Raw genomic sequence first — 14,676 nt, 5'->3', positions numbered from 1 at the left:
TGTACTCCAGCCTGGGCAACAGAATGAGACTGTCTCAAAAAAAAAAAAAAAAAAAAAAAAGTGAGGGAAGAGTGTTGGCTTGGCTCTTCAGTTCCTTGGTTCTGACCCAATCTTGCCAATTCAGTGAACTTCTCTGTTTCCTCATGTCCAGGATGGCCCAGATGTGTAACCAAGTACACACATCAGTCACGTTACTGTTAGCCTAATGACAGCTGTGGAACAGGGAAAGCTGATGCCTGTGTTTTGGTCAACCCCATTCTCTCCTGGCACTCTCTCAGGTGGTCTGTCAGCCATTTGTCCTCACATTTCCTGTGCCTTGAGGATCACTGATTGCTGATAAGCTGTTATCTGACAGTTTGGACTCTGGACTCTAGTGGCAGGAGGGACCTTCAGGACCTAAGATACAAAGCTCTCCTGGTGAAGTAACAAGTAATGGAATCTGTCTTCCCTCACCCAGATTTTTGGGATACAGGAGAATTTCAAGAGACGAGAGTGTGTATTTGGCAACCACAGAGATAAAATTATGAAACTGGATCTTCCAAATGGAGCCATTTCACGTTTGCTTTTATTTTTGCTTCTTTGGGTCCAAGAAAACTTGCTGTTTAGTAATAAGGTTATATACACAAACTTTTGGCTGTGGAGTTGGGCTAATGTCAGTCACCTAGGTAATGGATTTAAACCCAAGGCTATTTTGTTCCTAACTTCCAGGTGAGTGATGAAATGGTAGTGGAGCTCATTGAGAAGAATTTGGAGACCCCCTTGTGCAAAAATGGTTTTCTTCTGGATGGCTTCCCTCGGACTGTGAGGCAGGCAGAAATGGTGGGTAGCTTAGTTTTTATATTACTACTGCATGAAACCAAATTCTTGTCCTTTGTCTTTCTTAATTCCTTTGAAGGAGATGGGTCTAACCAAGCTCTGGTAGCTTAGGTGGGCCACACATTCTTTTACAGCTCGATGACCTCATGGAGAAGAGGAAAGAGAAGCTTGATTCTGTGATTGAATTCAGCATCCCAGACTCTCTGCTGATCCGAAGAATCACAGGAAGGTATTTGTCCCTTGAAGGTCCCTTTTCATGCTTCTCAGAGCTTTCTCAAACTCTGAGAATTGCTCTTGCCTAATCCCGGCCATGAAGCTTAGTGCCATTTCAACATGGATTGATTTTATTTGGTGACATCCGCTGAAGTGGTGAGATGGGATCGGGATATGGAAAGAAGAGCAAGGGATTTGAAGTCAGACAGCATCTCATTCTTGTCACTTTTTTTTTTTAGATGGGAGTCTAACTCTGTCGCCCAGGCTGGAGTGCAGTGGCGCAGTCTCGGCTCACTGCAACCTCCACTTCCTGGGTTCAAGCAGTTCTCCTACCTCAACCTCCCAAGTAGCTGGGATTATAGGTGTCTGCCACCAGGGCTGGCTAATTTTTTTGTATTTTTAGTAGAGATGGAGTTTCACCATGTTGGCCCGGCTGGTTTTGAACTGACCTCAAGTGATCCGCCTGCCTCGGCCTCCCAAAGTGCTAGGATTACACGCTTGAGCCACTGTGCCTGGCTCTTATTGCTTTTTTTTTTTTGAGACAGAGTCTTACTCTGTCACCCAGGCTGGAGTGCAGTGGCGCGATCTTGGCTCACTGCAACCTCTGCCTCCCCGGTTCAAGTAATTCTCCTGTCTCAGCCTCCCGAGTAACTCGGACTACAGGCATGTACCACCACGCCCAGCTAATTTTTGTAGTTTTAGTAGAGACAGGTCTTCACCATGTTGGCCATGCTGGTCTCAAACTTCTGACCTCAAGCAATCCACCTGCCTTGGCCTCCCAAAGTGCTGGGATTACAGGCTTGAGCCACTGTGCCTGGCCTCTTGTCACTTTTTAACTGTGACCCTAGGCACATTTCTTAACCTCTCTGAGGCTGTTTCCTTATATGTAGAAGGGGGTTGATAACACCTGCTTTGAGAAGCTATTTCACGTGTTAGGTAACATAAAATGCATAGTTCAAAGCCTTGCCTATATTAGGTGCTTAAGAAATGTTAATGTCTTTACATGTGTATCTCCTCCATTTTAGTGCTCCTTAAATCTGATTTCAGCTGGAGTTGCCATACTTTGCTGTAGACTTTTTATTGTAAAAATAATATAACCATCTGTACAAAGTTTAGAAAATGGAGGAAGAATTTGCTCATAGTACAGCCACTTTGTGTGTGTGTGTGTGTGTGTGTGTGTGTGTGTGTGTGTGTTTTAACATGTTTGTTTCTCTGTAATAGCATTGAACACAGAAATGCCTCTGCTTCTGGACACGTTTGTTCTGACAGACCAACACTGCTTTAGCCTACAGTTGTCTCTACCCTGTTTCACTAATCACTGCCATCTGCTTTGTGCCTTCCAGAAGTATGACAGAAGCTTTCAACTGCAAATGGACCCTCCATTCCCTTCTTTATTGTGGGCTGTAGCTTTTTTATGTCTTTGTCATTTTAATGGTGTCTCAGGAAAGTGGTCAGCCAACCATCTTGAACCAGACATCCATGACCATTACTTTTAATTGCTGTGTAATATTTCACAGTAGGTTAACCATTGTTTACTTATTTCCTTATTGTTGTACATTTATGTTTCTTCCAGTTAGCCACTGTTAAAATGATACTATGGCCATCATAATGCATGTAAATTTTTGGATTAGGGAAAAAATGTTTTCTTATTTCAGACATTATTACTTTGATTTCCTAATGAGGTTGAACATCTTTTCCATGTGTTTGTAGTCCATACCTTCAAGAAGAGACAAACATGTGAATAGACAGCACAGGGTTAGCACTATTATCCTGGAAAGCGATATGAAATACAGTGGACTCTACCTTATATTCATTTTCTTTTCAAATGTCCAGGTTACATGTCTCCGGCTATTCCATAGGCTCCTTTAATGCAGGAACTTCTGTTTCTTTGTATCCCCACTGGGCACAGAGTAGACAAAGTTGATGTAGGTCGAGAAGCAGTAGGGTTAACAGTAAAGACATCACTAGGCCTGGGGTCTCTTAGGCACTAAGCACGTATTAGCAGAATCAGGTGATACTGGAGACCTTTGATTCTATGGGCCCAGCTTCCTGAGTACCTGCTTCCTGCATAGCACAGTACTAGACCCTGGGAGCAGAGGACCACGAGAGGCTCTAGGATAACCATATAGTGATGCCCATCTCTGACCTCAGAGAGTCATATATGAAACTTGGGCTGTTCAGTGTAGTAGGAAGTCCAAGAAGAAAGCCTGGGGACAGGGAAGAAAGGCTGCCTAGGATAGAGATAACATTAAACTCTTCCTCGATGAAGAGTATTTCAGAGAGCCTTTCCCAGAAGGGAGGAGAAGCCGGAATGATTATGGGTTGGACTTTCGCTGAGGCTAGTAGCAGACGTGTCTGCCCAGTGGTCTGGGGGGCAGGAAGGTAGAAGGAATGCTGTTGAGAAGAGCTTTACTGGGGAGATCTGCCAAACCAAAGAGGGTAGACTTGACGGAGTTCAGGACTCATGAGATAGTCTTGAGCCACTGGGTATTGTGGCAAAAACAGTATTCTAAGAACATTAGCTTGGTCCTGGTGTACAAGGTAAATTACGGCAAGGAGAAACAGATAAGGATACCATCTAGGAGCCTGTTTATGATCCACATGATGTGGTGGAGATTTCTAACTGAGGTTGGGTGGGAGAGAACAGAGAGATTCTGAAGAACAAACAGCAGGATTGCTGTAAAGGGTGAAAGAGAGAAGATTCATTCCCTCCATTTGGAAGTAGGTGGTTAGTGTGACTTCCTCACAGAGAGAAGGACCCCCGTCCTCACAGAGCATGTCACTGCTGAAGGTGTTTTTCCAAGTTTACCCAACAGATGAGTGGCAGGGTTAGCCCTGGAAGCCTGCTTTCTGCCTCGTAGTCCAAAATGTTGATGGTTAGAAGAAAATGAGGCAGGAACCAGTCAGTTTAATATGGATCTTTTTCTTTTCTGTTTTTTTTTGTTGTTGTCATTGTTGTTGTTTTTGAGACAGAGTCTCACTCTGTTGCCCAGGTTGGTCACAGATGTCGGCTGTTTGAAGATGCTGGGGAATGCACCCCGGACCTCACACAGGATCTTTTTCAAGTCTGAGATGATATGGACCCATTGTAACAATCTTCTGAATTAGCTCTGACCTCACTTCTAGTAATTTTGAGTCATTGTTCTGTTTCTTGAATATGAATAGTTGGTGGTTGTGGTTTTTGTTTTTAACTTATTCAATATTGGCTCTCTCAAATCCTAATTATCCTACCAGTTGGCTCTCCGGTATTATCTTAATACCTGGTACCATCCCAATTTTGTGGATGAGAAAACAAGTGTTTAAAGTGTCGCACTGAATGTTGGGCGCAGTGGTTCATGCCTGTGATCCCAGCATTTGGTAGGGACCTAAACAGGAGGATTACTTGAGGCCAGGAGTTTCAGACCAGCTTGAGCAACATAGCAAGACCTCGTCTCTACTATAAAGCAAAAAAAAAGTTAGCCAGGTGTGGCAGTGTGCACCTGCGGTGGTGGTCCCAGCTACTTGGGAGTCTGAGGTGGGAGGCCTGCTTGAGCTAGGGAGGTCGAGGCTGCACTGAGCCATGATTAGGCCACTGGACTCCAGCCTGGGTGACAAAGCAAAACCCTATCTCAAAAAAATAAAAATAAAGTATCACACTCACGGTAGCAGTGATTGTAGATTCCCAGTCCTGATGATACCTCCAAGCCACGCTCAGTGGCTCATGGAGCTATTTTGGTTGGTACTTGAGAGCAATCCCATTTTGAGAACTTGGAGAGTGGGGTTTCTTTCATTTACCTTCTGTGGAATGAGCCTTGTATTGTTTTAAAAAGTGGTATTTGTGAATGGCAAAAGAGCAGTGTGTGGGAGTCATATTTGTTGCAGCCTGGCTGCTATGTGCCCTGTGCTCTCTAGAAGGTAAAAAAATATCCTGGTCCGTATCTCATGCCCCTAGCCCCTCCCAAAGTTGCTGCAGCTGAGCCCAGCAGCCTGCTCTCTCCTTTCCCTGGGTCTCCCAGTGGATGCCATTTCTGAATGAATGCATCAGAGGAATCCTTCCAGGCACTCAAATAATGGAAGGTGCAACCTCACAGTACATGACTGCAGTCACAGGAACCTTTACTCCTCTGTCCAGTTGGCCTTCCATATCCATGGTTCCCTCATCTACGGATTCAAGCATTTGTGGATTAAAAATATTCAGAACAAAACCACCAATAAATATAACCCAGGAAAGCTGAAGAAAAGAAAAAATAATACAAATTTTAAAATTCAGTATATCAATTCTTTACATGGCATTTACATTGTATTAGGTATACATAATCTAGAGGTGATTTAAAGTATGCAAGACAACCAGCCTGGGCAACATAGTGAGACCTCATCTCTACAAAAAATTAAAAAACTAGACCGGGCGCGGTGGCTCACACCTGTAATCCTAACACTTTGGGAGGCCGAGGTGGGTGGATCACGAGGTCAGGAGTTCGAGACCAGCCTGGCCAACATGGTGAAACCCCGTCTCTACTAAAAATACAAAAAATTAGCCGGGCGTGGTGGCAGGCATCTGTAATCCCAGCTACTCAGGAGGCTGAGGCAGGAGAATTGCTTGAACCTGGGAGGCAGAGGTTGCAGTGAGCCGAGACCATGACACTGCACTCCAGCCTGGGCAACAGAATGAGACTCTGTCTCAAAAAATAATAATAAAATAAAATAAATTAATTAAATAAAATAAAAGAATTAGCCAGGCATGGTGGCGCATGCTTGTAGTCAGCTACTCCAGAGACTGAGGCGGGAGGGTCACTTGAGCCCAGTAGTTTGTGGTTACAGTGAACTATGGTCATTGCCATTGCACTCCAGCCTGGACAACAGAGCAAGACCATGTCTCAAAAAATAAAATAAATAGACCAGGCGCAGTGGCTCACACCTGTAATCCCAGCACTTCGGAAGGCTGAGGCAGGTGGATCACGAGGTCAGGAGATCGAGACCATCCTGGCTAACACGGTGAAACCCCGTTTCTACTAAATATACAAAAAATTAGCCAGGCTTGGTGGTGGGCGCCTGTAGTCCCAGCTACTTGGGAGGCTGAGGCAGGAGAATGGCGTGAACCCAGGAGGCGGAGCTTGCAGTGAGCAGAGACCGCGCCACTGTATTCCAACCTGGGTGACAGAGGGAGACTCTGTCTCAAAAATAAAATAAAAATAAAAGTACACAGGAGGATATGCATAGGTTATATGGAAATGCTGTACCATTTTATATCAGGGACTTGAGCATCTATGGATTTTGGTATCCACAGAGGGGGCTCCTGGAACCAATCCCCCCATGGATACCAAGGGATGACTCTATAGCTTATTTTCTCTACTGTCACCTCCCTCCTGCCCATAACCCAGTGCCACTTTATGCCAAATGGACCATCTTGTCCCCCCAAAATATGCTGTGATTAACAAAAAAGAAAGTAGCACATTTTACAGAGGTGCTACTTCAATAGTCTAAATAGAATTGAATAGAATTTTTATTTATTTTATTTTTTTGAGACAGTCTTGCTCTGTCACTCAGGCTGGAGTGCAGTGGTATGATCTCGGTTCACTGCAACCTCCACCCCCAGGTTCAAGCGATCCTCCTGCCTCAGCCTCCCAAGTAGCTGGGATTACAGGTGCCTGCCACCCAGCTAAATTTTTCATATTTTTAGTAGAAACGGGGTTTCGCCACGTTGGTCAGGCTGGTCTCGAACTCCTGACCTCAGGTGATCTGCCCCCCTCAGCCTCCCAAAGTGTTGGGATCACAGGCATAAGCTGCTGGGCCCGGCCCAAATATTGCTATGCCTGCCAAATGGTGAAAAATATTAGGGAGCTCTAGTCTAATAGACCTTCATGAGAAAAGCAACCATTAGTTAAATAAGCAAACAAACACTTGGTTGGCAGAGAATTGAGAAACCACAGAAGTGAAGCAAGGCCTGGCTGCTGAGCAGAGCTTGGCCTGCCTCCTTTCCTTAGGTTTCTAGGCTCCTGTGGTGTGGCCATTCCCAGTCAGGAACATGGGCTTGTTGTCTGTAGGGACTCAGCACAGATGCAGCTGCCCACTATACATTCAGTGCCAAATAAATGCCTGTTCTTGAGCTCTATATTCCATGACTTGTTTAATAAGTCATTTTTCCCGATTACTTGAATATTGCTCCATAAGGGTTAGGCTATCTTTTATCTGTGTGATTGAAAAGATGTGTTCCATTATCTGGCAGTGTTTGCATCCATGGGAATTATTTTTCCTGTTAGTACCTTCCTGGTTTTGTAACCAAACTAGGTTAGAAAATAGAGTTCATTTCTTTGTCCTCTGTCCCCCATAGCACTTTGTACAAATCTCTGTTAAAGGATTATCACGTTTGTTATTTATTTCCACATTTGTCTCTCCCACTAAGCACTACTTGTGAGCAGGGATCATTACTCATTGCTTTGTAGCTTCTGAATTCAGCTTAAGGCTTGAATGGAATACTTATTAATGTTTGTTAAGTAAATGGGTGAACAGAATGGATGGCTGTGTGAGACCAGCACCAGAGTTCCTTCTCTCAAGTCCTGAATTAGGTAGTTATGCCAGCAGTTTGCTCTTCAGCCAGATACTCATAATAATGTTTGGTCAAAATAGAAAATATACTCTGCCGCTGGCATAAGCTCTCCTGGAAGCCCAGTTATTTAGCTGGATTTTCTGCTGGGTGCTGGGTCCTTGCATCCAGCGTCCCTATCTCTGCTTGTCATTCTGGAGCCCCCTAGAGTGGAGTGCAGGCGCGTACTGTCAGTTAACCTAACTCATATTCATTTGCTGTCTTTCAGGCTGATTCACCCCAAGAGTGGCCGTTCCTACCACGAGGAGTTCAACCCTCCAAAAGAGCCCATGAAAGATGACGTATGTAAACTCAGGACAAAAAATTTCCTTTTCTTTCCTTCCCCTTTCTTCACTGTTTTTCTTTTTCCTTTATTCTTTCCATCTTCCTTTTATTTCTACCAATATTACTAACTTAGTCATGAAAAATAACACTATCAAGTAAATCACATGGCCTGTGTCAGATCTATTCAGTGTCTCCTCAGGTGGTTTATTGCTTGGCCTCAAGGTTGCTTCCAGTGGTGCTAGCTTTTTGCAGTGCCCAGATTGTACCTGTCTTCTGTCAAGAGCAGCCCCTTTTCTGGCATCATGGCCACCTAAGTGATCAGCTAATCAGGAGAAGCTTTCTTAAAAGCCTACAATTGGAGAGTGGGAAGAGTGTGGCACTGAAGAGAAGTTTGATGACCAGTCCTCCAGAAAAATATTCTTTTTATAGTTATTGCTGCTGTACTGTGTCCTGGGGTTTCATACATGGTCACTGCACCATTTGCCATAAAGAGTCTATATGGTTTGTTTTAAAGCATGCAGGCAACAGTAAGAATTTCCTGGGTTTACCTTTGTCCTATGAAACAAGTTCATCAGGTCATTCAGGTTCTATAAATACAGGTTCCAGAGCCGTTATGGCAACTTAGTCACATTTTGCAAAGTTGCTAATTCTACCATTGAAAGTTCTTATTTTACTTGCCACTTTTAGAATGTTGATGGGTGACACTCTAGTAAATACACTAAATATTTAAGCAACTAAGATTACAATTGCTAATGTATCTTTGATTTTGATGTATTCTGGTCTTAGGGGCCTTTTTGACTTCCTTACTTTTGACCCTAGAAGTGTTTATCTTGGAAGCTGAATCGCCTGAGCACAAAGATGAGAAAGTCATTGCCTATCTTCCCCTCATGAGCCCCTTTCCTCACAGTTGGTGTTTCTGACAAACTCTCTGACTTCTGTTCACCAGCTGCTCTGCTCCTGGGAGTAGCAAAGTTCTTCACTGGAGAGGGTCTGGATTGCCTGTCTTTGTCTCTGATGGGCTTTGGGAACAGACAGCATCCTGGGCAGAATGGTCCCATCTCAAATCTGCATCTGGCATGGAATAAGAAAACCTTGCTAACAGTCCCAGCCTTTCATTGCTGTCTTCCTGTTCTCAGATCACCGGGGAACCCTTGATCCGTCGATCAGATGATAATGAAAAGGCCTTGAAAATCCGCCTGCAAGCCTACCACACTCAAACCACCCCACTCATAGAGTACTACAGGAAACGGGGGATCCACTCCGCCATCGATGCATCCCAGACCCCCGATGTCGTGTTCGCAAGCATCCTAGCAGCCTTCTCCAAAGCCACATGTAAAGACTTGGTTATGTTTATCTAATGTTGGGTCCAAGAAGGAATTTCTTTCCATCCCTGTGAGGCAATGGGTGGGAATGATAGGACAGGCAAAGAGAAGCTTCCTCAGGCTAGCAAAAATATCATTTGATGTATTGATTAAAAAAGCACTTGCTTGATGTATCTTTGGCGTGTGTGCTACTCTCATCTGTGTGTATGTGTGTTGTGTGTGTGTGTGTGTGCATGCACATATGTGTTCACTCTGCTACTTTGTAAGTTTTAGGCTAGGTTGCTTTACCAGCTGTTTACTTCTTTTTTGTTGTTGTTTTGAGACAAGGTTTCGCTCTGCCACCCTGGCTGGAGTGCAGTGGCGTGATCTTGGCTCACGGCAACCTCTGCCTCCTGGGGCTCAAGCAATTATCCCACCTCAGCCTCCTGAGCAGCTGGGACTACAGGTGCATGCCACAACACCTGGCTGATATTTGTATTTTTTGTAGAGACAGGATTTTGCCAAGTTGCCCAGGCTGGTCTTGAACTCCTAGGCTTAAGCAATCCACCCACCTTGGCCTCCTGAAGTGCCAGGATCACAGACGTGAGCCACTACACCCAGCCCAGCTGTTTACTTCTTTAACCATACTTTTGATTTTATTTTTTGACCAAAATGAACTAACCCAGGTAATCTTCCAGGGACCGCAATTCCAGAACCTCATAGTATTTCTTCCATTTCCAGCAGCTGATTAGAAGTCCAGGATCATGTGAAGTCAGGCAGGGTCACAGTTCCTGATGGCACATTATGGACAGAGAATTCCATTTTGTTTTCTAACCCATGATGAAAACCCACGTGAGTCAGTGTGTGAACAGGGATCATTAATTTTTTCCCCCTAGGTGGAAGGAAAAAGGCACTTACTTTGCAGGTTACAGAAATTACTGGGAGAGGATATCGTCATAAAAAGAGCCAGGCCAAATTGGAATATTTTTGTGATCTGCATCATGATGCTGAAAATAGCAATTATTTGGGAATTGGGTTTGAAAACTGAATTGTTGCCAGAGAATTAAACCAGGTGAAAGGTCCTTTTGAATTCAGATTGTCTTCTGAACATCCAGGCTGATCATCTGAGAGCAGTCAAATCTACTTCCCCAAAAAGAGACCAGGGTAGGTTTATTTGCTTTTATTTTTAATGTTTGCCTGTGTTTCCAAGTGTGAACAAAACAGTGTGTGATCTATTCTTGGATTCATTTTGATCAGTATTTATTCAAACCCAGTCTCTCTCCAGGACATAAAACTGAAATCAGATATGTTCTTTTTAAGCCCAAACCCTCTCCTTTCTAGATCCAACCCTTCACCCCTAATTTTATGATGGCTATAGCCATGGACTTCCCCAAGAAAAGATCACCCAGAAATAAGACCACCTGTGACAGTTACCAGCTTTTATTCATAACCTTAGCTTCCCAACTATTGAGCATTTTCTAAGGTCCCTGCTGTCTTTTGGTCTCTGGTTTGATTTGTGGCAAACAGATGAAGTAACAGACTGCTATGAAGGACCACAAAAACGGCAGCCTCTGGAAAAACCATTAGAAAGTCAGTGGCAGATCCAGTAAATAATATCGCCAGCCTCAGCATAATCTGCTGCTGACTCGATTCAGTGGACTCTAAAGTGCCCAGCCTCCTGACCTGAGCTCTCCTGCCATCTGTGAGACTACCAGAGGTCTTATCTGCTGTCCACATGGCAACTGGGCATGAGTACCTGGCCACCTTGCTTCCCTCTTTGCCTGGTCCAAGTGAGTGTCTGCTGCCTCTGTCCTGCCTTGTTTTCCTGGCTCTAAACCAACTCCACCCACTCTTAATGGAAACTCAGTCTGGCTTTGTGTGTTTCTGGGAAGCACATGACTTCTGGGAATGGGCAAGGAAGAGGAGTGAAACAAAAACTGTCAGCTATGTGTGCCTGGTCTGGGATCCTTCTCTGGGTGACAGTGGCATCATGAATCTTAGAATCAGCTCCCCTTTAACTAGGGACAATTGTAAGCACTTGGCCTCAAAGTTGAGGTTCTTGAATGTTTGCTAATTTTATGTGCATGATCCTTGCCCAAATATTTGTCATCCGTCCACATAGATTCACGTGTGCATACAACATGTACAAGTAATATTTGGGCTGCCCATAAGAACTGGAAGATTCATAGGGAATGCATATACCCTTCTCAGTATGGTTAGGATTCTGTTTTTGCTTCATTTAATTCCAGAGTTCCTCAGCCTCAGCAGGTTCTGCTTTTACCTGTCACAGAAATGTCCAGTGTTTAATGCATTTGGTTGCTGGGGCTTACATGCCAGCCTCCTCTGATATGTACTTGGTTTTTAAAAACCCATTTTGTTCTCTCTTGTTTCCTCTCTATTTCAGCCTAGTATCAGAAGGCCAGGCGAGACTGCAACACTGCTCATCACCCCGCGGCGTGATCCCTGCTCTTAGGTGCTGGGCAGAGGGGAAGGGTGGTCAGGGTGAGGATGGTGAGGGAGGGCTGGTGAGGGGCTCAGAGGAATACTTGGAACAACAGCAGTGTTATTGTAGTGTGGCAGTTTCTTTTATACATAGGTGAGAGTTTTTAAAGTGTAAGGGAAAAATTAATTTTTTAAAAAACACCATGCTTGGAGGGTGGGGGTAGAAATAGACACAATATTATTTCTAAGGAATCGGGTTTTCATTTACTCTGGACTGGTGAAAATATTTTTTAAAGCCAGTGCTCTAAGACCTCAGCTTTTATCTCAGAACCCCATGGGTTCCAGACCAAGAGTACAGGAAATCAAATTGTTGTCCTGTCTGTCTATAGCTTGGAACAGGGAGCTTTGATTACTGACTCCGGTTCCACACACTGTAAGATCAAAAAACCATCTCCACATTTGAAAGAGATGTAAGGTGTATTCATAGGGATGGTGGCTCAACAAATCAAGCAAACTGGAATCAAGGGGAGGGGGAAGGGAATGAAATGGAAAGGGAGGCTGATTCCCTTCCCCTGACTTACCACTAATTTACTAGGCTACCTACTTTCATGAGTAACCTCTCACAGCTACCCAGCACATGCCACAATCCTATGCTCTTGCCTTCTTTTATCTGCACTGTGTGAAGGGACTCTTTTAAATAAATGAGCAAGTGTCCTAAGCTATGTCATCCAAAGATTGTCCTTTCCATTCTCAAATCCTGTGACTGGGATCACTCAACAGCACTGTGATGTATTATTTTCAATGAGGTGCCTTTCTTAACTGACCAAATGCTGCCTTGTTTGGCCCCTAAATCAATAAAATATGTTAAAATTTGTATCCCCTGTTGTGGCATTTTTTTTAGATAATCTAAGCTAGAAAAATGACATTGAATTCTGGACCTGGCTGGAAGGAAAAGAAGCCCTTTCTTGTCGCTGGCAGCTGTGTGGTAGGGAGGTCCAAGTATGTGCATATGAGATAAGCCTGCAACCTCTTGACCTTCAGCTCCTATGCAGGCTTCTCTTGAGCCCAGAGACAAGGCAGCTTGGTCTAGTGGAGATAGCACTGTGCTTGGAGTTCAGGGGACCTAGGACAAATCCCAGCCAGTTAGTTATTCACTGTGCTCCTGTTTCCTCAGCTGAAAAAGGAAGTTGGTTATGCCACCTTCTTGGCCTTAATGGCATTAAATGAAATTTATAGGAAGAAGGTTTTTGCTCAGTACCTGGCATGCAACAGACATTGGATAAATGTTAGTTGGATCCAGATATACACAGAAAGATATCTGCTTCCTGCCAGGCTGGATAACTGTTGAATGGACACTTGTCCATAGTCTAGAAAGCCAGTGCTTCTAATCCTTAAGCCAGATCTTTGACTACCTTTTCAGTTGCTTCTTTAACACTCTTTGTTGCTTCTCTGTGTGTCCTAGTTTAAATTCATTTCCTCTCCAGCAAAAGTGAGCTTAAATAATTTCTCCAAACTAAAGCTCTCATGTTTTTGGAAGGGCTGCCTTTGCAAGTGAGGTTTCTGAGAAATGACTGTTGTTCCCAAAACAAGAGGGAGCTGGGCTGGAAGCACCACTATTCTTCTTTAGGCATCTTGTTACAGAGAGAGGCAGGGTCTTCACTGACATATTAAATCCTGTTCCCTGAACCAGCCCCTCCCTCTTCTGCTCCACTTCCTCACCTGTGCAGAGTCATTTTCAGGTGTTAGCCTTACTGATTTGCACTGATCTGTTTGTTCCCTGAGCTTTTTAAATACCCTGTGAAAATTTTCTTTCCTCCCTTGGTCATCATGCATCTAATTGTGGGGAAATGTTTGTCAAACCAACCTGCAAAGCAGCATGGTGTAGTTGAGAAGAATAAACAGAGAAGACTGGGTGAGCTATTGTTTGTTTGCTTCTTTGGGCCTGGGTTTCCTCATCTAATCTGCAAACCAAGAATGCAGACTAGTCCTACCACTCCCGGAAGACTGACGTTGTGCCAGGTATTATGCAAAGGCTTCATGTAACCCTCGACTTCACGTAACCCTCACACAGCACCCTGTGGAGTCAGAACTGTCCTTCACTTTTATAGGTGAGGAAACCAGACTCAGAGAGGTGAAGTGGCATTCCTGAGGTCATGCATAAGAGGCAGTCAGGACTGAAACACAGTCTCTAACACTTATCCGTCCCCTTGATCTTGTTGCTGAAGTGATTTAATTACTTGCGTAGCTCTGCACACAGGAAGGGCTGCTCTGAATAAGAGCTCTTTTCCATGGACACTCAGCGCTGCCGGAACTGATTTTGAAGAAGTCACTGCCGGCTCTGAGGGCCTAGGGTATGTGTCTTAGGATCTCCTGTGTGCACAAAGTGTCACTGACAGAACACAGCAGGATGGAGAGCAGCCTCCTCAGAAGCCTCACAAGTCTTTCCTCAGATGAAGACAGAGCAACGAGTCAGAAGACAGATTTCAACAGCGACTTCACCATGCGACCTTGGACAAGTTATCTCACCTCATCAGTAGAATAGGAATGATCCCTACCCCTCAAAGGTGCTGATGACACTAGTGACCAAGATACTCATGTGGGTTGGACTGCCCAGGACACAGCAGATGCTTAGTAAACACAGATGGAATTCAGAGGGAAAATGTAGGCATTGAAGAAAGTTGTCTTACTGACCATCCGGAACCAGGCTAAGGATCCCCTAGAAATCATAGACCTCTGAAATTATATGCAGAATTCTTTATGTGTTTTCATAATTAATAATAGTCTAACATATTAAATTCTTAGCTGTGTGAGAGGTTCTGCATGCATTATCTCATTTATTCTCCTCGATAACCCTGTGGAGGTAAGTATTGCTATTATCTCTATGGTATGTCTGTAGACTTTGAGATTCAGACATCTGATAATGGCAGAACCAGAGCCTGAGTCCAAGTCTGGCTCCACACCCCAGCCTCTTAACACTGTGCCAATTGCTTTGACACTTTGCTGGGGAGAGATGAAATGATCTCAAAGGCACTCATGATACAGAAAAGGCTATGAGCCATG

General features: G+C 44.2%; 1 protein-coding gene across 9 annotated transcripts in view; it reads left to right on the top strand.

Annotated features, from left to right (window-relative positions):
- AK2 (adenylate kinase 2) overlaps window positions 1-14,472 on the top strand; it is a 28,944-nt gene extending 14,472 nt beyond the window's left edge. For 2 of the 9 annotated variants that reach the window (NM_001319142.3, NM_001319139.3), the window contains 5 exons: window positions 709-819; window positions 951-1,045; window positions 7,818-7,890; window positions 9,010-9,205; window positions 11,579-14,426. In NM_001319142.3, coding sequence (NP_001306071.1) covers window positions 709-819; window positions 951-1,045; window positions 7,818-7,890; window positions 9,010-9,205; window positions 11,579-11,583 — 480 coding nt within the window. In that variant the 3' untranslated portion in view covers window positions 11,584-14,426. Of the gene's footprint in view, window positions 1-708; window positions 820-950; window positions 1,046-7,817; window positions 7,891-9,009 lie in introns of all 9 variants that reach the window. The other 7 variants (NM_001625.4, NM_001319140.2, NM_001319141.3 and 4 more) reach the window with 6 other exon arrangements.

The sequence above is a fragment of the Homo sapiens genome, chromosome 1 (assembly GCF_000001405.40).
Source record: "Homo sapiens chromosome 1, GRCh38.p14 Primary Assembly".
Lineage (NCBI taxonomy): Eukaryota > Metazoa > Chordata > Mammalia > Primates > Hominidae > Homo > Homo sapiens.
The sequence above is the reverse complement of the archived record's forward strand: the minus strand, read 5'-3'. Positions and strand labels throughout refer to the sequence as shown.